A 24,491-nucleotide genomic window follows, 5' to 3' on the forward strand; every position below is an offset into this window, starting at 1 on the left:
TAATCTATGTACCATAAATTTGCCTATTAAAGTATACAGTTTAGTGGTTTGTGGTATAGTTTCAGGGGCAGCATCACCATAATCTAATTTTGAATCATTTATATTACCCCTAAAAGATAACCTTGTAATTATTAGGAGCCATTTCCTGTTCTTTTCTATGCTTTTTATTTGCCAGAAGTCTTAGGCAATCACTAATCACTATCATATATCTCTATAGATATGCCTATTCTATATATTCTATTAATATTGAATGAGATCATGTACTGTGTGGTCTTTTGTGATTGATTTTTTTCATTCATTTTTGAGGTTCATCCGCATTGTAGTATGTATCAGTTTTGCTTTCCCCTTTATTGCTGAATAATTTTCCATTTTATGGTTATACCACATTTTGATAACCAGTTCACCAGTTTTTTCCCCTTTTTGGCTGGTGAGAATTATGTTGCTCTGAACATTTGTACAAGTTTTTGTGTGGACATGTTTTCATTTTTCATGAGTGTATATATCTAGGAGTGGAATACCTGGGTTTGCTAAACTGTTTTCAAACGTGGCTGCATCATTTTACGTTCCCACCAGCATTGCATGTGGGTTTAATTTCTCCAGATTCTCACCAGCACTTGTTATCTGCATTTTTATTATAACCATTCTAGTGAGTATAAAGTAGTATCTCATTGTAGTTTTTATTTGCATTCCCCTGCTGGCTAATGATAATGAGTGTCTTTTCAAGTACTTATTATTGTTTCATATATTTTGGATTATTCAAACTGGATTTTTAAAAATCAATCTGAGCCAGATGCAGTGGCACACACCTATAGTCCCAGCTACTCAGGAGGCTGAGGCAGGAGGATCACTTGAGCCTAGGAGTTTGAGGCCAGGCTGGGCAACATAGCGAAACCATGTCTGTAATAGGATACATTTTAAGATGGCAAAGGCAAACCTTAAACTGAAATGTAAAGTCATTGTAAAACCTCTGATGTCAAGTGAAAAATGCGTAGTATGTCTAATGATTTATTAACTACAGAAAGGAATTGTTCCAGTTAAAAAAAAATCAATCTTTATACTGTTTACAAGAGACATACCTAAAATGTTATACAAAATGACAGAAACATTGAAAAAGATAAACCAGGCATATAGAAGCCAAAAAAACGGTTATGGCTATATTACTGCTATATAAAATAGATACTGTTTGAAAGATTTTTAATTTATACATTGGTATTTTTCTGAAAAAACTTTGTAGCAAATACAAGTCACACACAATACATTTATAAGAAAATAAAAGTTATACAAAATATATATTATGCCACAGAGAGCATTCAGTGAAAAGATTTTTATTCATTGATTGATACCTTCCTGGGAATTTTTGAAATTAAAGTGATTTGAAACTGGCCTAGATTTCCTTTCTCTTGATCATTTAGAAATGAACAGTGTTTTTTGTTGTTTAACTTCTGAAATATCAGTGTGTCTTCATAAGATTTTTTGAATTGAGGCACCTGGCTTTTTTCCATAAATACAGTCAATAGTTACTCAATTTTTTTTTTTTTTTTTTTTTTTTTTTTGCTTCTGGAAATAATGCCCTCTCTCTATGACAGAATATTTTTCCCATGTCGAGTGAAAGCTCAGTATCCAAAAGTAAAATACAAAGTTTTCAAATCAGAAACCTAAACATGTCTCTTCTTCCCTATTCCAAACATGCATGCTTGAAAAGTTGACTCATGCATTTGCCTCTTCAAGTGATTAAAGTGTGAGAAGTTTATTCTTTGAGAATGCTGAGAGCTTCTTGGATAGATAGGGCCATAAGCCATAAAGATTAAGACTTAGAATTATCATGAAAATATTTACTTAGAAGACTGAGACAGGATCCTGAAGGACATTTTTCTCAGTAAGAAAGATCAAATCTCTTTAGCCTTATTACCCTTATGTCTTAAAGTTTACAAAGACTGTGTTTACTGTGTTACTTATTTTATGGTTTCAATGAGACAAAATGACTTGGCTCATATTGATTGTACTAATAAGGCTTTGAGAACGCTTATGGCATTATGTGGGTTGCGTTTAAGAAGAAGGGTGGTGTACAAAGGTAAATTTTTAAAATTTAATGCTTTTTAAAATTAAAAGTGTTTTTAGGGTTGTTGCATAAAGTAATGAAATCTTACATTTTTCCAAGGCTTGCTTATAGTTTTAGAGAGTAAACAACTAAGTTAGTGATAGTTTTTGAAATTTTAATTTGTGACATCTGTTTTTAAGTATTTCTGTAGATACAAAATTTTCCTCAGTTGAACACAAATACTAATTATTTTTTCCATGAAGCAAGAAAAACTTTCAATTCTTTATGTACTATGTGTATGTATATATGATAAAATGTTTAGATATTACTAAATATACACTTAAAACATTTTTTCATAATTTGTTAATATTTTTATCATTATTCAATACTTTGAATAATTTATTGTCTTTTGTCCAGGTTGAAGATTGTAAAAATTTCTTTTAAGTGCAAACAGTTTTTTATTCAACTTAGAAAAGAATTGGTGAGTACGGATTTAATAATTATTGACATAAATGAAGCCTTTTAAGAAATACCCATTCATGACAGAACTTTTCTATTATTAGTACAAGTGAAAGTGCAATTAATACTGTGGATAACTGCCCGCTGAGGTAATGAATTCACTTGTTATAACAAAATGTACTTGTTTTTCCAGTGTGTATGTGGTTCTAATTTAAAGTTCTTCTAGATATTCCTCTTGCTGTTTCTCGAGCTTAGAAACTGATTTCTCACACATGATGTTCATTGAAAACCTCAGGGTCCATTTTTGAAGGGCAGCAAATGAGCATTTCATATATCCCTTTTTCCCTACTAAATCTATAGTACTTACTTTCGTATATAAGTTCATTTTATTTTAGGGGAGCTGAGTGTTACAAGTTCATGAACTTATAACACATTGCCTCCCTTTGTTGGAGTGGTAATGGCTTTATATATTATAAATAACAAATTGAGTTGTCATGGAAAGTACAGTGTTGGAAATAATTTCATCTTGTTAATGATTTTGTCTGTTTCATTAAATCAAACTAACCTTATCCTTTGATGTACATTATTTCTTAGAAATCTGAGAAGTCTTGGCAAATTCATGCAGATTTCAAGATGGTTGTGTGTGTATGTGTGTAAAATGTATTTGAAACCATAAAAATGTCTTTGGGGCTGTCCTCAGTGGCTCAATCCTGTAATCCCAGCACTTTGAGAGGCTGAGGTGGGAGGATCCCTTGAGGCCAGGAGTTCCAGACCAGCCTTGGCCACATAGTGAGACACTGTCTCTACAAAAAAAAAATGGAAAAAAAAAATTGGCCAGGTGTGATGATGTGTGCCTCTAGTCCCAGCTACTCAGGAGGCTGAGGTGGGAGGCTCTCTGGAGCCCAGGAATTCAAGGCTGCAATGAGCTATCATCACACCATTGCACTCCAGCCTGGATGACATAGGGAGGCCCTGTCTCAAAAAAAAAAAAAAAAAAAGCCTTTGGGTACAGTGGTGGCTTCTACCTGTTATCCCAGCTACTTGGAAGGCTGAGGTGGGTGGATAGGTTGAGCCCAGGAGTTCAAGGCTGCAATGAGCTGATTGTGCCACTGTAGTCCAGCATGGGCAACAGAGCAGGACACCACTGCCTCTTGAAAAATAAAGAAAGTCTTTGAATCAGCTCTGTTGTATTGGTCTACTACGTGATTATAAACTATGGTTTATCGTTTATGTTCATAAAATACAGAGGGATTTTTTTCAAGAGAATTTTTATTGAAATAAAACATAATACCAAAAATGTGCATATTTTAAGTACACAACTTGATGAAGTGAACATATCCATATCAGCACCTCCAAGATATGTAGTATATGTACCGCCTTCTAATATGTAGAACTTTACCAGCACCCCAGATGCTTGAAATGTTGCTGCTGGAGCTGATGCCCACTTCCAGTCATTAAGCCTCCTGGAAGGTAAACATTACTCTCATTTGTATGACCATGGATTAGTTTGCTTATATTTGAACTTTAAAAATTGAAATTATACAGTTGTTGTCTTTACTGTCTGCCTTCTTTCCCTTAATATTTTTTGTGAGATTCATCCATGTTGTTGCATATAACATTAGTTCGTTCCATTTATGTATGGTATTCCTCTGAATGACTATGCCATAAATTATTAATTCATTCTGCTGCTAGTGGACAGCTTTGCCATTTCCAGGTTGGGGATATTATGACTAATGCTGCTAATGGAAATTATTTTACATGTTTTAAAATTTAGGTGATTAAAATATAATATTGTTATCTGGAAACTAGAGGACAAATATTTTACTTTAAGTAATCATAGATGGCACTGTAGAAGTCAACTTTTCTAATTAGACTTATAATAATATCCCATCATAATACTAGTGTTATTAATAATAGTTATAATATCCAGCCTTTATTGAGAACTTACTATGTGCCTGGTAAAAGACCAGTCATTTTCATATCACTGAATCCTCACTCTCATTTTCTGAAGTAGTGTACCAGTTAAAAATGTATTTACCAATAAGTGATAACAGCAACAATAGCTAACTGACAATTGATTAAAGACAGTATACAGGGATCCTTTTGTGGTTCATAAGCATGATGATTAGATTTTCATGCTATTGGGTGAGATATGCCTTCCTCAGACTTTGTTACAGCATAGGCACATTACAACCTGTCTGATAGGAGAAAGAAAGTAAAGATGGTATACAGGCCAGGTGCGGTGGCTCACGCCTGTAATCCCAGCACTGTGGGAGGCTGAGGTGGGTGGATTGCTTTAGGCCTGGAGTTCAAGACCAGCCTGGCCCACATGGCAAAACCCCATCTCTACTAAAATACAAAAAAATGGTTGTGGTGGCACACACCTGTATTTCCCGTTGCTTGGGAGGCTAAGGCACAAGAATCTCTTGAACCAGGAGGTGGAGGTTGCAGTGAGCCAATATCGCACCACTGTACTCCAGCCCGGACAACAGAGCTGGACTCTGTCTCAAAAAAAACAAAAGAAAAAAGGAAAAAAAAGACAGTATACAGGCATACTCTGCAAAAGGTGGCCTTGTTAATGTTTTCTCTCTAAAACATCTTTGTTTTTAAATACCCAAACTTCATACGATATACTTATCTCTCAGTACAAATTTTTTTGTGTGTTGTTTAGAAATTGGGCAAGAAAAATTTTTGTTACATTTCAAATATAATTGATAGAATATGGAAATTACTTATAGACTTTTTGAAAAGTATACCAAGTGTCAAAATGGGTGAATATGTATGCATCTTAGATGCTGACAGTGAGAAGCTTCAGTGCATCATAGTAGCTGAGACATTTTCTGTTATTTTGTGTAATGTTTGTGGCATATGGTAAAACATATGAACTATATATGTTAGTGCAAACAAAACAACTATTAACCATAATTAAGACAATTTTCTGGCAATCAAGAAGTGATGTTTTAAGCATATTCCCTTCTAATATGATAGTTTAATACTTTATACATGGGCATTTATTTGTGTATTAGTCACAGGAAATATCTTAATGACCTTTTGATGGGCAAGAATTTCTTTAACCGGACATAGAAGGAAACCTTCATACCCTTAAAAGATTGATGATTTGGACTATGTTAAAATTAATAACTCTGTTCATCAAAAGATATCACTAAGAGAGTGAAATAGTATAGACCATTATATAATACACACAGAATCCTTGGTTGTATATGCATCCTGATAGAAATATATGCCAGTGAATTGAACAGACACTTCACAAATGAGGATATCCACGTGGCCATTAACATTGAACCTCAATAATTATAAAGGAGGTTCAGATTATAACCAAAATGTGCTACCTCTACATACACAACAGAATAGTAAGGGGAAAGAGATTGATAAACCAGTGGTTGGTGAATATATGGCACATATGCTACTGGTGGGAGGGATTGTATATTGATCTACCCATTTTGGAAAACTGTTGGGCATTATCTACCAAAGCTGAGCATATGTGTACAACATATGACCCAACAACAAAAATGTGCATATGTGTACACCAGAGAACATACAGGAATATGCATGGCTGCATTCTTCTTATATCCCCAAACTAGAAATATAAAATGTCTGTGAACAGTAAAGTGGATAAGTTAACTGTTAAATTCATTATAATAGAGTACTATGGAAATTAGTGAATTACTGCTTCATAAACGTTGAATTTATATCAGAAACATAATGCTGAACAAAAGCCAGACCTAAAGACACATATGTTTGATTCCATGTATGTACAATAAAGTTCAAAAACAAGCATGACTATTCTATGGTGATAAAGGCAGAAGAGTGATTAACTTTGGGAAGGTAATCTGGTAGAAAGGGGAGACAAAGGATACTTCTGTGGTGGTAGTAATGATCCATTTCTGGAACTGGGTAAAGGTTACATGGTTGTATTTATTGTGTGAAAATCAGAGCTGTGCAATTATGGGATGTGAATGTTGCTATATGTGGTTTACTTTAAGGAAATTATTTATTTAGAAATTTGTACCAGTTTTCAAGAAAATGGAAAATTATTTTAGTGCTAATTTTAAATTTTGAATTATGTAATAGTGTTCAGAGCTGCTGAATGTTCTTTATTTACAATCTAGACAGATATTTTAAATTAGGAATATTGTTAAAAGTTGTGATGATATATTTTAACATTTAATTTATGGCCTAGAATTATATTTTGAAACAGAGTCATAGCTAATGTTGAAAACAGATACATATTAAAAGTTTGAACTCATTTCTAACTATGATCTAAGGTTAAAGTTCCTAAGAGTTATAATATGAATGAACAAGGCCAGCACGGGGGCTCATGATATAATCCCAGCACTTTGTGAGGCCAAGGCAGGTAGATCACTTGAGGTCAGGAGTTCAAGACCAGCCTGGCCACCATGGTGAAACCCCGTCTCTACTAAACATAGAAAAAGTTAGCTGGGTGTGGTGGTGCATGCCTTTAATTCCTGCTGCTCGGGAGGCTGAGGCACAAGAATCACTTGAACCCATGAGGTGGAGGTTGCAGTGAGCCAAGATCGTGCCACTGCACTCCAGCATGGATGACAGAGTGAGACTGTGTCTCAAAAAAAAAAAAAAAAAAAAAGACTGAGTTAGGTCCAGATTTTTCAGGCTTTTGCATATACTTCATTGCCTTTTTATTGGATAAGCAAAAAAGATCCTAGATAAAAGATCCCATAGGTTCTATCTATATCATTAACAAGTTCATGTTTACAAGGCTAGAATAATTTATCTGTCAAAAGTAAATTAAATGGAGCATTAGATCCTGACATTTTCCTGGTATTCTCTGCATTTTGTCATTTATTACAGCATGAATCTAGAGAAACATTATTGGGATTTAATATGGTGAATTACAGAGCATGTAAAAATTTGTGGAAAGCATGTGTAGAACATCACACATTCTTCCGTTTGGACAGACCACTTCCACCTCAAAAGAATTTTTTTGCACATTATTTTACATTAGGTTCAAAATTCCGGTACTGGTAAGTATTGCTTCTGTGTTAAGGCTTTATTGTTGGATTTTGTTTCCTTTCTTTAAAATAAAGATGTAGTTTATGGAACCATACAACCTTTGTTACACAAACTTAACTGAGTCAAAAATCCCTATGGATTGCAGCCTCTATATCAGTATCATTAAAAAGTTCTATAGGTTCTTGTGATATGCTACAGGCTTGAGAAACCAGTTCTGTGTTCTGTATTTGCTGTCATTATTTTCTGGAGTAAATTAACTACATTTACTTATTTACAATAAAGACAGATGACATAATTTCTATTGTGTCTTTATTAGATATTTGCTTGAAAACTTTTCTTTGTTCTAAGACACCCAAGGTATCTTATGCCTAAAACTATATAATTATTGTTTTTTAATTTAGAATTTAGCATATTTTTGGGTTGTCAAACCCTTTATTGTAAAGTGTTTAAAACAGTCACGAGGCAAAATCAGATTTAGTCATTGAACAGTAACCCCAGGTTCCATTTCCTAAAATTGTTTTATTCTTGATAGCTTTTATTTTTTCCTGACGGCAACAAATCTTTGGGGAATAACTAAATCTGAAGAAGCTCTGATTAGTTTTACCTTTGGAATTCTTAAAAGACCCATGCAAGCTAGTTTTTAAGTGGAACCTGGTAAGAATCATGTAGAAAGTTATTCATTATCTTTTAGTAAAACAAATGTTATTCATTCTTGTTTGTTTATGCTTCACATAATAAGATTTTTCATCTTTGATAAATAAAACCCTTGGCCAGTCGCAATGGCTCACACCTGTAATCCCAGCTCTTTGGGAGGCCGAGGCAGGCGGATCACCAGAGGTCAGGAGTTCAAGACCAGCCTGGCCAACATGGTGAAACCCCGTCTCTACCAAAAACAAAAAACAAAAAATTAGCTGGCTGTGGTGGTGGGCGCTTGTAATCCCAGCTACTTGGGAGGCTGAGGCACGAGAATTGCTTGAACCCAGGAGGCAGGGGTTTCATGAGCCGACATCTCGCCATTGCACTCCAGCCTGGGTGACAGAGCAAGACTCCATCTCAAAAATAAAAATAAAATAAAATGAAAAACCCTTGACCATTATGTGTTAAGATTAATTCATGTTATATGTTCATGAGAAAAATGTTTAGATGTTCCCAGAAAAGATTTAAATTGTAAACCTAAACATGTATAATTGCCTAATTTGTAATCTCCGTAAAAATAACAGTATGAAGCTTAGTACAGGATATGTCACTTGAAATACATGACTCCCACCCCAGAAAAATTAGTAAAAGTGGCTCAAAAGTTCAGTAGTAACAATTAAACAGAATTAGAATATTTTTAACCAAACAAAAGGCACAGTAATTTCCTAAGCAGTTTGCTGTCACGTTTAACTCCTTTTTTTTTTTTTGCCTTCCTAAAAGCAATTTTGAGTAAAGTAAGATGACAGTACTTGCAAATTTAAAAGCAAATAGATGGAAGGAGAGAGTATCAGATCTATAATGAAAGTCAAGGAAAAAGCAAAGAGCCTTACCTACTGTTAATAAATCTCAGCAAGGACAGAAGAAATCTCCACGGCTTTATGTGAAATGAGAACAGTACAAACCCTAAAGATATTCTTTCAATGAATTTAATTTCTGATTGGTTACCAGGGTAGTTATACAAGGACTACTCTTACCCTCTGTTCAAATTCTTTTTTCTCCTCTTTGTCCTTGCAAATGTGACATAAACACACACCATTTAATTTAGGTACAAAGAAATGAGTAGGACCAATAACCAGTCTTCAACTATAATTCAAGCAAGTCTCAGACAAGATGAGAAAAGAAAGTCAAGGAAGTTACCCAAACCATACCAAAGCAAACATAAAATTTACATACGGTGACTTCAAATACAAAAGACAGTTGAAGAAACCTGTTTGGGAGGAAATCATCACTGAAACAGAAGGAAATTTGTACCATAAATATTAATAAAAGCAAGTTCAAGGACAATCTGATTTAAAAAAAAAAAAAAAAAAAAAAGATCGGCCGGGAAGGGAGCAACACCTGCCATTCAGAAGGCTGTTACTGCCCTTGGGGAAGATTGGCCTAGTATTGACAAATTTTACATGTTTTTCGACAAAACTGGGATTAAGGACTATTAAATGGGATATGTACATTTTAGAAAGTTGAACAATTATTTTAACAGCTTTATTGAAGTATAATTGACACATAAGAAATGATCATATTCAAACTTTAAAATCTGATGTTAGTATGATGAATTACTTTGATTGCATTTCAAGTGTTAAGCCAGCCCTACATTCCTAGGATAAACCCCACTTAGCCATGATATCCTTTATATATATTGTTTGATTCACTTTGCTAAATTTTGTTTAGGATTTTTGCATATGTGTTTATGAGGGATATATCTCTGTAGTTTTCTTTCGTACGATATCATTTTCAGATTTTATTGTGTCAGGGTCAAATTGGAATCATGAATGTGTTGAGAAAGTTCCATTTTCTGGAAGAGGCTGCATAGTAATAATATTATCTCATTTTTAAATGTTTCATAGAATTTGCAAATTAATTCATCTGGGGCAGAAGTCTTACTTATAGGAAGGTTTTGAACATTCAAATTCTTTAATAGATAAGGCAATTAAGGTTTTGTCTTTCTTCCTGAGCAAGATATGGTAGTTTCTGTCTGTCAGCAAATTTATCCATTTCATCTAGGTTGTTGAATTTATTGGCACAGAGTTTATAATATTCCCCATTTCTTTTTAATCTCTCTAGAATATGTAATAATGTTGCTTCTCTCATTCTTGGTAACTTGTGTCTTCTTTTTTCCTTGATTAGTCTGCTAGTGGTTTATCAGTTTGAATTAAATATTTTAAAATAATGTAGGCCAGGCATGGGGGCCTGTAATCTCAGTGTTGTGGGAGACCAAGGTGGGAGGATTGTTTGAGGCCAGGAGTTCAAGTCCAGCCTGGGCAACATAGGCAGACCCCTGTCTCTACCAAAAGTTTAAAAACTAGCTGGGCTTTTGGCACACACCTGTAGTCCTAACTACTCAGGAGGCTCAGGGAGGAGGATCACTTGAGGCCAGGAGTTAAAAGTTACAGGACTATGATCAGGCCACTGCACTTCAGCCTGGGTGACAGAGCAAGACCCTGTCTCTAAACAACAACAAACAGTATGTATTCCAAATAAAACTTGTATCTTCAGGCTTATGTTACTTGTGGGCCATCCTTTGTCAACCAAGTCCTAAAGACAAAAACATGACCAAAAAATATTAAACATGATCACATTGCCATTCAAGTCCAAAGTCAACATATAGACATTATCCAATATGCAAAAACTCAGAGAATATAACATCTCCAGGACCTTCCTGAAAACATTTATTAAGTAGTAAAATTCAGCAAACCAGGAGATAAATCAGAATAATCCTGATTAAAAAAATAACTTTTTATCAGGTATAAAAAAATAACTTTTTATCAGGTATAAAAAGTTATTTTTATATAAAAAGCCCTGAGAGTGAAGATTAAATCCTCTCTATATAGAAACAATTCTTGACAACCGTGAGAATTATAACTGCAGAATAAAATTTAAATGGTATAAACTTTGCCAAAGTAGAATAAGTAATATAACTTTAAAAAAATGAGGCTGGGCACGGTGGCTCACGCCTGTAATCCCAGCACTTTGGGAGGTCGAGGCGGGCGGATCACGAGGTCAGCAGATCGAGACCATCTTGGCTAATGCGGTGAAACCCTGTCTCTACTAAAAATACAAAAAATTAGCCGGGCGTAGTGGTGGGCACCTGTAGTCCCAGTTACTCGGGAGGCTGAGGCAGAAGAATGGCGTGAACCCAGGAGGCAGAGCTTGCAGTGAGCCGAGATGGAGCCACTGCACTCCAGCCTGGGCGACAGAGTGAGACTCCGTCTCAAAAAAAAAAAAAAAAAAAAGCAAGGGACTAGTGGGAGGAAGTATTTGAATCCTTAAAGTTTGAAACAATTTTAGACATTAACACAGCAGTTCTTAAGGTTTTCTTCATCTTTTTTCCTTTTTTTTAATATGAATGGCAGTCTTTTTTATCTTTTATTTCACTGGAAACCAGTTTAATTTTTTTCGTTAAAAGTGGCATATATACCATAGTTTCATTGTAATAAAATTATTGTGCCTGTATGTCTAGCCTTTTTAATGTTTATATACATGAATTTCAGAATGATTTTTACCTGCTCATAATGGTGATGATTTCTTTATGGATAGGACTGTGGGTAAAAACAATTTTTTTGTTCTTTTTATATTTTTCTATGTTGCTTGAATAACTTATAATAAGCCTATATATAAAGAGAGAGAGAAAGAGAGAGAACTTTCTCATTGCTCAAAAGATAAGTATCTTACTGTGAAAGTTTAGTGTTCTGAAACTGGAACAGTTTTTCATTTTGTTGTAATGATAATACTAAATCCCTAATGTCTGTATTATGGACAATATGAAATATAAGCCTTTCTTTCATTAATTTTAAAAAAAATTGTTTCTTTATTATGAAATTTAACTTGTTACTCCAGCCTTTTGAGTAATAGTATCCCATTTGAATCTTCTTCACTGGAAAATTAAGGTATCAGTCAGAGTTCAGTCAGGGAAGCAGAAAGCCCTTTTGGTATTTCAAACAAAAGCAATTTAATTGAGGAAATTAGTTACATGGTTGTTGGAAATGCTGGGAAAACAAAAGGGTGGAAACATGGTTATGGAGAAAAAAACAAGAAGAAGGGGTAATGCCTAAAATTCAGATGCATTCAGGACTCCCTGGGCTGGAGTCCACAAACTACACCTGCTACTACACTGTTAGAGCTCTGTTTCCCTGACTGAACTCTGACTGATACATTAATTTTCCAGTGAAGAAAAATCAGTCTGCATCTTGCAGAGAAGTACTGCTTTAATCAAGGATGGGACCATCTACAGGATGCTCTTTCTCACTATACCCTATCCCCATGACTATTAAAGCAGCTGCCAGCAGCTGCCAGTTTCCTGCTCTGCCTTTCTCCACTTTCTGATCTTCCACCAGTACCTTCTAAAAGCAGAACCTAAGGCAAAATAATCTAGAAAATGGAATTTGTTTATCATAGCCCCTGCAAAACATAGGGCACAGGACAGGACTGGGCCTATGACAGCTCGCACATTAAATTGTATATACATAATTGTGTATATTTATAGTTTTAAAAAGTTAAGCTTTGCGTTTGTAGTCCTTAAGAACTTTAAAACATATCCAAAGCACTTTTTAATCATCAAAGTGGTTAGACATCTTGTAAATGAAGTAGGAATGGGAGAACTTTAAAACTTATCCAAAGCACTTTTTAATCATCCAAGTGGTTAGACATCTTGTAAATGAAGTAGGAATGAAGTAGGAAATGAAGTAAAAATGTTAACTGGACACAGTCCTGTCCCTAATGAGTATGCACTAAATAAACTTTTTTTCCCTTCATAATAAGCAGTGGTGGAGAATACTGGAACTGTTGTCATACTTAAAATGTTGAAATACTCTTTTGACTGACAGATGGTACTGGGACTATCAGATCTATTACTTTCTCCACCAGTCTCTTCATGTACATATCCTTATCTCTGTTCCAAAGTATCCAGAGGATTAACATCATTATTCTAATGTGGAAATACAAAACAGTGATGAACTTTAATTTATTACCTCCCTCTTAGAGGAAATATTTTCTTAGGAAAATTCAACTTGAAGTTTAAAAGTCATGGTAGTATTTCTCATTTTTCCGTTAAAATCTCATAAAAGTGCCATTCAGTTCATATTTACTGATATTTATCCATGGAAAATGGTCTTAAAATTGCTTGCTTAACTATGGAAACTGGCATTTGGCTGTTTTTATATGCATTAGATAGCTATATTTGTATATGGTTACATTTGATATACCGCAAATTTATGTTAATTCACAGTTAAGTAATGAGAATGTCTCAAATAAATGCTCTGAGAACTTTTATTAACAAACTTCATCTGAACACATTGGTGTACTTCAGAAGAAGATCAGTTTCTCTCTATCAACAATTTCCCTCTAGACAAATCAGCTTGAAAACAAATCTCCTAGTGCCAAAACCCCACCATTTTTCTGCCTTAGTTCCTTCCTCTAAACAAAAATCTGGAGCTGTTCTGTGTCTGGACATGGAGGGAGTTGAACACATCTTTCTTCATTAATGGGAGAAATGTAACTAAGCTTCATTCATCCAGGTAGAATTGGAATGTTGTCCAGTCTTTTTATTCTCTGCTTCCTTTTCTCTGCTAGAAATGTCTTGTCTCTTAGGAAGTTACACTATAATCATGTTATGTGTTGTCATTTTATCTTATAGTTCTCTTAAGACTTTATTGTTGTGCATATTTATATATTTCAGTGGGAGAACTGAAGTCCAATCAGTTCAGTATGGCAAAGAAAAGGCAAATAAAGACAGGGTATTTGCAAGGTAAGCCAAATCTGTTTCATTGTTTGAATTTTTTTAAAAAGATGGATTGAGTTTACTAAAAAGTTTTTCTAAATATTTTTTCTAAAGTTTTTCTAAATATTTCAAATTTTTGATTACAGAATTATCACAATTCTTTAACAGTAAATAATGTTGAGGGAATGATAAACTAGCTTGTCTAGTTTATTGATTCATTTTTTATATTAATAGTGTGCCAGGCATTGCAGTTCTGAATAGGCTGATCAAATATTATGTTATTAATATAATATTCTGTTCGAGGTTGCTCCACTTTTTTAAACATTTTTGAGAAATATAGTGACTTATTTCATGTTATCAAGCCATTTCCATATTTATTTAAATTATAATGTTAAGAGATAAGTTGTTTTATTTTTTGTTTTTGTTTACCATTTATTGTCTTTATTTCTTTAGGGTCTGTCATAGCCAATTTGCTTTTTTTTTTTTTTTTTTGAGACGGAGTCTTACCCTGTCATCCAGGCTGGAGTGCAGTGGTGCAATTTCAGCTCACTGCAACCTCTGCCTTCTGGGTTCAAGTGATTCTCCTGCCTCAGCCTCCCTAGTAGCTGGGATTACGCATGCCACCACACCTGGCTAATATTTTTGTATTTTTAGTAGAGATGGGGTTTACCATGTCAGCCAGGCTAGTCTCGAACTCGTGACCTCAGGTGATCCCCCCCACCTTGGCCTCCCAAAGTGCTGGCATTACAGGCATGAGCCACCACTCCCGACCTAGCCAATTTGCTTTTTAACAAGTGAAATGACATGATAAGATCTATGTTTTAGAAAATAGTATTATGAGCAATGATAGAGAATGGATTAGCGAGGAAAGCCTCGGTACCCAGAAACTATAAGGTAATTGCAGTAATCCAAGTGAAAATAATAAAGGCCTGAACAAAAACATTGGTAATGGAATGGAAAATAGGGAACAAATTTAAGGAACGTTTTGTAGGCAGAACTAGCAGAAGCTGATGACCAACTGGATACAGGTGTGTTAGAGACAAGAGTTTGTTTTCAGTGAAAATTACTTTGAGAGGCTAAGTCTTTTAATTAGTTATGTGTTTGGCATCTACTGCTATTAGAGGCTTGAGTTTTAATAAAGAGAACTAGAAAGTTTGCTTTTGATTTCACTTTGTTTAAATTTTGTTCTTAAGTCTTTATCTAAGAGACCTTCCTTCTTTGTGTTTCTGGAGTAAAGGGAGTTTTGTGTTCTTGGTTTTTTTCTTCCTCCTTCCAAAAGTGGAAATTGCTTTTTTCCCCTAGTAATATAAGTGATAGCTCATTATGTTTAAAAACTCCAACAGTATCAAAGAGCATAAAGAAAATTTATCATCCCAAGACAACTTTTTAAAAAAATTTTGATACTCATTATTCAGGATTTTTCTATGCATATACTCATAGAGACATTTTTATATATGTGTGTATATTTGTTTCCAAATTGTTTTAAACTATTTGTTGTTTGTTTTTATCATCTAGCATATCGTGCACATTTTCTTTGCTGTTCAAAAATCTAGTCATTTATAATGGCAATAAATCTTTTAACAGTTAAATTCTTTGATTGTAAACTGTAAACTTAACTTTTAGGATTCCTCCCTTTACTGAGCCACGTCCCTGCCTCCAGAGTAGGAGTTGTTGCTAAGACTTTGTAAGGATGTCACAGTAATATGTGACATACAGCTTACATTTAGTAGTCTACTATATGAGGAAATAATAGTTTATTACATTATGAATTAACATTAATAGAAGAGCCATAAATGGTAAGTTAATCTTTATTTTAAAAATCAAATGCATGAGATAATATACTTTATTTTCATTCTGTTGTGACTGATAGGAAAATTTGCACTGCAATATGAGGGGGTTGGACCAAACGGTGTCATGAGTTGTCTTCTAATCAAAAAATCCTATAATTTAAACCTGTGATAATGGAAAATCTTCACACCTAAATTACTTTGAATTCACTTATGGAAAATGAAATGAGTCCATGTATTTTTTAAAAAACGAATAACATTTCTTAAAATATTTTTCTGATTCTTAGTGTTGTAACAGCGTAGCAATATACTTAAAACTTTCCTTTCTTAACAAGTGTCTTCTTTCTGCTTGACTTTTATAAACAGTGTAGAACGTGCGATGTGGTCACTAGTTGTATGCAGCATATCCTCATACGAGTACCAGATCGTAGGCATATTTATGTATTAAGTTAATATCACATACAAATGGTTTCTTTATAAGTGTTAATGTTTTCATGTTTTGATCCTATCAGATTTTAGAAATAAGCAGAGTTATACCTGCATCTTAGTTGTTCATTTTGTGTATTCATTATTAAAATGTATAGTTGTTTAATAGGTTATTTTATAAAACAAATAGCCATGATTCCGTGAATAGTAGAGGTAAAATTTCAATATTATAAGCCTCAGATAACTCTCTTCCTTTTGTTTTTCTGGAATTGTGTGGTTCCTCTGAAATAATAAGGTATCAGCTACAATGAGGTTGTAATAGTACTGGGCTGTTTAATGATCTCTCTTTCTCTGAAAGATAAGCTTTTCTGGGATTGTTTTTCTAATATGTTAGGATCTAATTGTAATGAACAGATATATGTCTACCAAAATTCTCTAATGGTTTTAGTAATTATTAAGTTATTTTATTAAAGTACCAGATAACCTAGAGTTCTTTTTTTTTCTTTGGGTTTTAGTTGGCAATATGAGTAGATAGAAAAGGCTCCTCCTTAAACTTCTCATATAATAATTTTTTAGCAATCATTAAATGTTTTTTCTTTTTTCTGATTATCACCTCTTTGTGTTCGCCTCAGCAGCACATATACTGATTATCACCTCTTCAAATTGCTTTCACATTTTGCAGTTGTCATATAATATATCTAAGAAAAGAGAAAAACAATGTTCTCATACAACAGAAAAATAAGGTGCCCTAGACAGAAAAGAAGCTTACCACATCGCAAACACACTGATGCTGTGTGGTATTTTTTTCTCTGAAATTTCCACACTCAACAGGAAACATAGACAGCAAGCTTGAGTGGGTGGGTCCCTGAGGTTAAAACTGTTAATAAAATAAAATACATGAAGTTTGGTTTTAAGTTCAAAGTGTCCAGCCATGTTTAGTCCATTAACAGCAATAAAGTGTTCTGACGCTTCAGACTAGGTGAGTGTGCTGGAATTTTTTTTCTTCAAATGACTTTTTCCAGCTTTTAGAAAATGAAAGTAGTTGATCTATTGATTACAGTTAGTGAACTTTCATACAGCTTACATTTCGTAGTTTAATATTTGAGGAAATAATAGTTTATTACATTATGAATTAGCATTAATAGAGCCATAAATGTTAATCTTTATTTTAAAAATCAAAGTTTTATGCATGAGGTAATATACTTTATTTTCATTCTGTTGTGACTGATAAGAAAATTTGCACTGCAATATGAGGGAGTTGAACTAAACGGTGTCATGAGTTGTCTTCAAATCAAAAAATCCTATAATTTAAACCTGTGATAATGGGAAATGTTCACACCTAAATTACTTTGAATTCACTTACGGAAAATGAAATCTGAGTCAATGTATCTTTTTTAAAACTAATAACATTCCATGTCTTATAAAATGCCTACAAGATTTTTGATTAAGGAAATGTCATTAGGCCAAACTAAAAAAGTTTTAGCTATGAATTGCTGAAATGACAGGACACTTCTGTGGTGTAGATTCATAAGTAACTTAAATTTTTCGTGGTTTAGTAAAATTAATAGGCTAAAATATTGCCCTGAAAATTTGGATATTCATAAATCATAAAATTCAGGAGGTAGGGAGAGACCTATGGGTCATATTATGCTAATAAATTTATACATTTAGATACAGAAACATAAGAGGTCTGTCTAATAGGAAGCCACATCTAGAATTCAGAGTCCTTATCATTATTTTAATGCTTCCTACTGTACACATAATAACAATTTGTTCAGTTCTCTTTGGTCAGTGTTATTGTGCGTGTTAGTCCGACATTTCTTTTTACACGTTTAACATATTGGAAAGGAAATTCTAGCAGGCAGTGAAACTTCAAACTTCATGAGATCATTATGTATCAGAATTCTAATGTTATTAAGTTTTAATGTAATCAGATGAGTTAATATTGCATTTGCTTTGTGCCTTCCTTGGTAATTGTTTTTTTTTTTTTAGCCATACAGAAGTGTATACATAGTACATGATGAGAGAAAAATATCCCAATGAGCTAAAAAAGCAAGTCCAATACTACCTGCAATTCTTTATCAATATAAGAAAATCTGAAAATAAATCCAAAGTCACACAACAAAGGCCTATGATTCTTATTAACTATAACCAAAAATAGTCTTCATTTTTAAATTTTACTCAAATAGGTATTTCTACCTAAATTTTTATGATCTGATTTTTGTAGGAAGACAACAGGATGTTTCATTTTTTGTAAATTGTGCTGGAATGGAAAATACATATAGTTTTTATATGCTTCAGTTAATTACTGAAATATAAAACTGTTTACAAGATGATTTATTATATACTTTATATATGTAGCTTAAATTATTCGCCTCCACATTAACTCTGCACTTCATAAAGCCAGGCATTTAAAGAAATAACATATATTTTCAGCTAATTTTGTCTATTATCTGAATTTGCATATAAAAAATACTTTATTTGTTAACATTCCTAAAATTCTAAGGGTTTATGATCTCTGCATAGATCAGTATCTTTTGATCTGAATGAATCAATATGAAGATCTTTCTTTCTTTCTTTCTTTTTTTTTTTTTTTTTTTTTTTTTTGAGACAGGGTTTTACTCTTGTCACCCAGGTTGGAATGCAGTGGTGCTATCACAGCTCACTGCAGTCTCAAATTCCTGGACTCAAGTTGATCCTCTGACTTCAGCCTCCCAAGTAGCTTGGACTACAGGCACTTGCCATCATACCCAGCTAATTTATTTTTTGTAGAGACAGAGTCTCCTTATGTTGCCCAAGCTGGTCTTGAATTCCTAAGTTCCAGTGATCCTCCCACCTGGGCCTCCCAAAGTGCTGGGATTGCAGCACTGAGCCACCTCGCGCATCCAAGATCTTTTTTTAAAACATCACTTAGTTTTCATCTTTATCATTAGGATAGCTGATAATATATAGATTGGTAACAAAACATATCCTTTTACTCCCCACCAATAGACAGAATTATTAACCCTCCAAAATGTTTTTGGAAAAAAGGGAAAAATCCACTAACCTACTATATGTAAACAATTTTTTAAGTAGATAAAATGTAATATGCATAATTATTTTTGTTCTGTCTTCATTGAGGCAGAGGATTGGGATTTAGTTATAGAAGCATTCAGGAGATAATGTGCGAGGAGTTATTTAATACATCCCAAGATAAGCTAGTGTTCCAGATACTCTGGAATAGAAGTAGGTAGTATCTGTCTTGTCAGTAACATCTGAGAAAACATTTGGTAGCAAACCCTTCCCTTTTTACCTTTGTCCTTCCTTTTCTTGTTTCTTCTGTTTTTCTCATCCTTCTTATTGTCTATCTTACTCTTCCTAGCCTGTCTTACCTTTATTCTTCATATAAAGCCAATGTACATTCTTAGGAAGTTATTTGGTAAATAGCCTCTAAATGCATTAATTTTTTACAAGTAAACTCTTTATGTTGCTCATCTAGAACATAATCTCTGAAAACAAATTGTAGGATTTGATTCATGGTTTGGGGTATAAAAATAAAACTTTTAACATATTATTTAATTTATTTCTGCAGATCCCCAAGTAAGCCCTTGGCACGGAAATTAATGGATTGGGAAGTAGTAAGCAGAAATTCAATATCTGATGACAGGTTAGAAACACAAAGTCTTCCATCACGATCTCCACCGGGAACTCCTAATCAGTAAGTGTGAATTTTGTGACCAACATCAGGTGTGAATTTTGCTAATTTCTAATTATTGGCTGTATATTTTTATGCCTGAAGACAAAGATACGCAAAAATTGAATTCTTTTGGTGAAACATGATTTTTGTTGCTCCAGAGCATTATTTTCTCTTTGCCTGCTGCTCTTTGCAGAAGTAACATGGTATAGACTTGCGGAATGAGAGTAGCGCATTGAATAAGGACCCTCCACTCTCACTCTCCTCAACAGTTAACTTTCGCAGTTAAGAGTCCCTGATAAATGAAGATCTGTTAGACTTAAAATCTTGTATGGTTGTTGTTGACATACTCATTTTTCATGTGGATTCCCAGCAGAATTTCTAGGGGAGCATATATTGTTTGAAAATGCTTTGCAAGTGATTGGGATTCTCTTAAACCCCCAGCTCAACCATGGCTTCAGCACGTTCTATGGCCTAGGAAAAGGGGTTTCCAGCACCAGTCCCCATAAGCTTAGCTCTCCCTGAGCTAAAAAGCACTGTGTGATTCAGCACTTACCGTATATGTACTTCAGTCTGACATTGCTCACAAAAGTTGTATGTTTTGGTATAAATGATTATAAGTTCATAAACTAGCCAAATGTACCAGCCAAAGATGTTGATTATCTTAATTTGATAATATTACAAATGTTGTATGTAATTAAGATAATGGTAAACAATTGTGTGCCACCATATTAACATACTTAGTTAACCCATAAGGTTCACTTATAAAATACTTGAATTTTGGTATGAAATATAATATTTGAAGATGTCTTTTTTCATAAATGTTTTACACACATTAATGTTTAATAAATTTGTATAAAATTCTAAACGTGGCTGGGTGCAGTGGCTCATTCCTGTAATCCCAGCACTTTGGGAGGCCAAAGTGTGTGGATTCCTTAAGGTCAGGAGCTCAAGACCAGCCTGGTGAACATAGTGAAACCCCATCTTTACAAAAACATACAAAAATTAGCTGAGCATGGTGGCGTGCACCTGTCAGGGGGGTGGGGCAGGGATTGCTAGAACCCAGGAGGAAGAGGTTGCAGAGTTGAGATCACACCACTGCACTTCAGCCTGGACCACAGAGTGAGACCCTGTCTCAAAAAAAAAAAAAAAAAAATCTAACAGCTAGAGCATTGAAGGCTATTATCAGCTGAAGAATAAAGTTCTACCATATCAGAACAGTTTATACATAAACAGTTTGGTTCACAGAGCTTTAATACTTAACGTGTTAAAGTTACTCCTAGAAAAAAATGGACTTAGTAATTTCTGTCTTGCCAATTTCAGGTTGCTTTTATCATTTTTTCTTATAAATGATTACATATATTCAAAGCCTCATTAGCTTGTCTGAAGAAAATTCAGACCTTGTTTTTCTCTTCCCTTTTGCACAAACAGCCATTTCTCCATTTGTACCAGCAACACTAAACAATAATAGCAAGTTATAGAAAATAATAGCAAGTTAAGCCAAAGTACTCAAGTAACTAATTAACAGTAGCTCTGTTTAAGTTTTCTGGTTAATGAAACAATTTCAGGTATAATCTAAAAAGATTTTTTAAAATTCTGAAGAGATAGTACAAGGTGGTGGTTAAGAGCATGGGCCCTGGAATCACTGTATGCTTGAACTTGGGCAAGTTAATCTCTGTCTCATTTTTCTCATCTACAAAATTATATTTATAATAATGTCTTTCTTATAGTACTGTTATGAGGATTAAATGAAATGCTTAGAGAAATGTCTGACACATACATAAATACTGAAATATTGTAATTAAAAATTGTAATAACACTACTTTGTGTGACTGTCAAGAGGATGGCAATATAGTATTCAGTATCTACTCTAAGGCTTCAAAGAAAGTCCCATAAATAAAAACATTTATAACAATTAAAAAATAATTCAGACTAGAATATATTTCTAAATGATTTATTCTAATCCCTTTATTTTATAAATGCTGAGTAAGACAAAATCATAGTGACTAACACCTAGAAACATGAAGGCACTTAGAGATAGTAGGTAACTTTATGGGTAGAATCCTTGGCAGATTGTTGATTGTAACTCAGATCACTGACTTCCCATTCTCTGTTCCCTCTGTTTATATCACACTGTCTTTTTCAGAGATTGCTTAGTCAACATGGCTTGACTTAAAAACACATACCCCCTTTCTGATGTAACCATATATTAAGAAACTTGGAAATTTTGAATTGAAGCATATTTTTATTCAGTTTTTCTCCCTCTTTATTTAGTCGAAATTCTACATTCACGCAGGAAGGAACCCGGTTACGACCATCTTCAGTTGGTCATTTGGTAGACCATATGGTTCATACTTCCCCAAGCGAAGTGTTTGTAAATCAGAGATCTCCGTCATCAACACAAGCTAATAGCATTGTTCTGGAATCATCACCGTAAGAGCTTTTTTATTTTGCTTCCTCTGTATTTTCAAATGCCCCAAATTGCTTTACTTAAAATAATCTGGGAAATTAGGATATTCGATACAAGATTTTAATTATGCAACTTTTCAAAATGTGTATGTTTGCAATTATGCTCATTTGTTCCTGAGAGTTCTTGTTGCCTCTCCCTCCCCGACCCAGTCACTATGTTGTTATTTTGTTGACTTAGACAGTTCTTCAGTTTTTAGTATATAAACTCAAATATTTCTGCAGATGATGTAGCACTCTGGTCAAGGAGGAGGGTAGTTAAAGCAGAGTTTCCTTAATATTTTTAAAGGAAAAGAACCATAAGTATGAGTAAAAAGTGTTGAGAAAATTAAAATACTTACAAGATATGTAGATAGGTAAGAAGATTTTTTAATTTACCTATGTAGATAGGTAAGAAGATTTATTTCTTGAGAAGGAGAAATTGGTGTAAGATATAGTGAGTGCGATCAGGGGTAAAGAGTGGGCCCAAGAGTGGTAGGTGGAAGAGAGTACAGGTGTAGGGTCATGTTTGTCCCTGGGTAGGGTAAACCAAGGAAGACTGGCTGAGCTATCAAAACAAGTAGGAGTTCAGCCTGCGTGATGTATATCTTGGTAAAACATTTTGATTGTGTGTATATATTATTAAAAATGGAGAAATAGGACAGATACACACTGTACAATGATACCTGTGGGGAATTAGTTGGCAAGAAATAGGATTGATGGGAGATTTAATATTTTATTACTTTAGAAGTTATAATTCTAAACTTTCCAGTTGATTTTTAATAATTATATATGTTCTAATTTGAAAACTTTAAAAAGTATAGTAATTAAGGACATGATTGAAATATTGATTTGATTTTTAAAATTACATACTTCTGTGACATAAAAATGAATCATATGCAGGAATCAAAAAGCCTAATTATTACAAACCAAAACCAATATAATTCTTGAGGCCTAACAAAATTATCTTTATCTATTTTTAAAGGGCCTTTTCCAAAGAAAGACATATAAACGCAATTGAATATTTCCACATGTAAATTTTTTTTTTTTGAGATGGAGTCTCGCTCTTTCACCCAGGCGGGAGTGCAGTGGCGCTATCTCGGCTCACTGCAAGCTCTGCCTCCCGGGTTCACGCCATTCTCCTGCCTCAACCTCCCGAGTAGCTGAGACTACAGGCGCCAGCCACCACTCCCGGCTAATTTTGTGTATCTTTAGTAGAGATGGGGTTTCACCGTGTTAGCCAGGATGGTCTCGATCTCCTGACCTCGTGATTCGCCCACCTCGGCCTCCCAAAGTGCTGGGATTCCAGGCGTGAGCCCCCGCGCCCGGCCTCACATGTAAATTTTATAGATTCACAAACCCCCAAATCACTTGCTGATATGGTTTGGCTCTGTGTCCTCACCCAGATCTCACCTTGAATTGTAATCTCCAGGTGTCAAGGGCAGGACCAGGTAAAGGTAGTTGAATCATGGGGGTCATTTCTCCCATGCTGTTCTTGTGATAATGAATGAGTCTCACAAGATCTGATGGTTTTATAAGTGTCTGGCATTTCCCCTGCATGCACTCATTTTCTCTCCTGCCGCCCTGTGAAGAGGTGCCTTCCACCATGATTGTAAATTTCCTGAGGCCTCCCCAGCCATGTGTAACTGTGAGTCAATTAAACCTCTTTTGTTTATAAACTACCCAGTCTCAGGTATTTCTTCATAGCAGCATGAGAATGGACTAATACATTTGCCATCTCAAAACACCTTTATTCTACTTTCCTGACTTGAGTGGAGAAGCGAGTTCAGGGTAGCTTGGAACTGTGAAGAGTTTTTGCTTCTTCTCTCTTGTGCACAAGAATATAAAATGCTTGGAGCCTTCTCCTTGGACATATATTTTATAAGGTTTATGTGTTTGTATTCCATTTTGAATCTATATTACTGCATTTGACATTCAACCAGTTTTTAACCTTAAGAATAATGAGAGAGTTCTGAAAAGATAAGCTTAATAATAATAACTTACTTAGTTGCTTACAGTCACTTTTACATAAATTATCTCACTGTTCTATTCAGGAGAATTCAGTGAAATAGGAAAGATATGTAATATCCATTTTATAGATAAGAAAGCCACACTTAGAACACTTGTCCCAATTTACAGAACAGAAACTCGGGCTTTCTGTAGCATGAGAATCAGCCAGGAGAACTTTGTATCCCCAACAAGATGTTATAGATGTTTTTTGATTTGCAATTTAGATAAAATACT

At 34.2% G+C, this 24,491-nt stretch overlaps 1 protein-coding gene and 1 non-coding gene across 2 annotated transcripts in view, besides 1 other annotated feature; both read left to right on the forward strand.

Moving 5' to 3' along the window:
- PTPN4 (protein tyrosine phosphatase non-receptor type 4) overlaps positions 1-24,491 on the forward strand; it is a 224,978-nt gene that overhangs the window by 152,802 nt on the left and 47,685 nt on the right. The window contains exons 11-15 of the mRNA NM_002830.4: positions 2,456-2,519; positions 7,346-7,518; positions 13,875-13,943; positions 19,701-19,826; positions 22,077-22,235. Coding sequence (NP_002821.1) covers positions 2,456-2,519; positions 7,346-7,518; positions 13,875-13,943; positions 19,701-19,826; positions 22,077-22,235 — 591 coding nt within the window. The remainder of the gene's footprint in view (positions 1-2,455; positions 2,520-7,345; positions 7,519-13,874; positions 13,944-19,700; positions 19,827-22,076; positions 22,236-24,491) is intronic.
- Positions 1,617-1,817: a silencer, noted in NCBI's record as "peak3834 fragment used in MPRA reporter construct". NCBI's record gives its function as "represses an SCP1 promoter by STARR-seq MPRAs in K562 erythroleukemia cells {active_cell/tissue: K562}" and the evidence as "EXISTENCE:reporter gene assay evidence [ECO:0000049][PMID:32103011]".
- On the forward strand, positions 4,595-4,701 carry LOC124906163 (small nucleolar RNA U13). The gene has a single exon (XR_007088751.1). It is a non-coding gene; the product is annotated as a small nucleolar RNA U13 (small nucleolar RNA).

Source organism: Homo sapiens, chromosome 2 (genome assembly GCF_000001405.40).
Source record: "Homo sapiens chromosome 2, GRCh38.p14 Primary Assembly".
Lineage (NCBI taxonomy): Eukaryota > Metazoa > Chordata > Mammalia > Primates > Hominidae > Homo > Homo sapiens.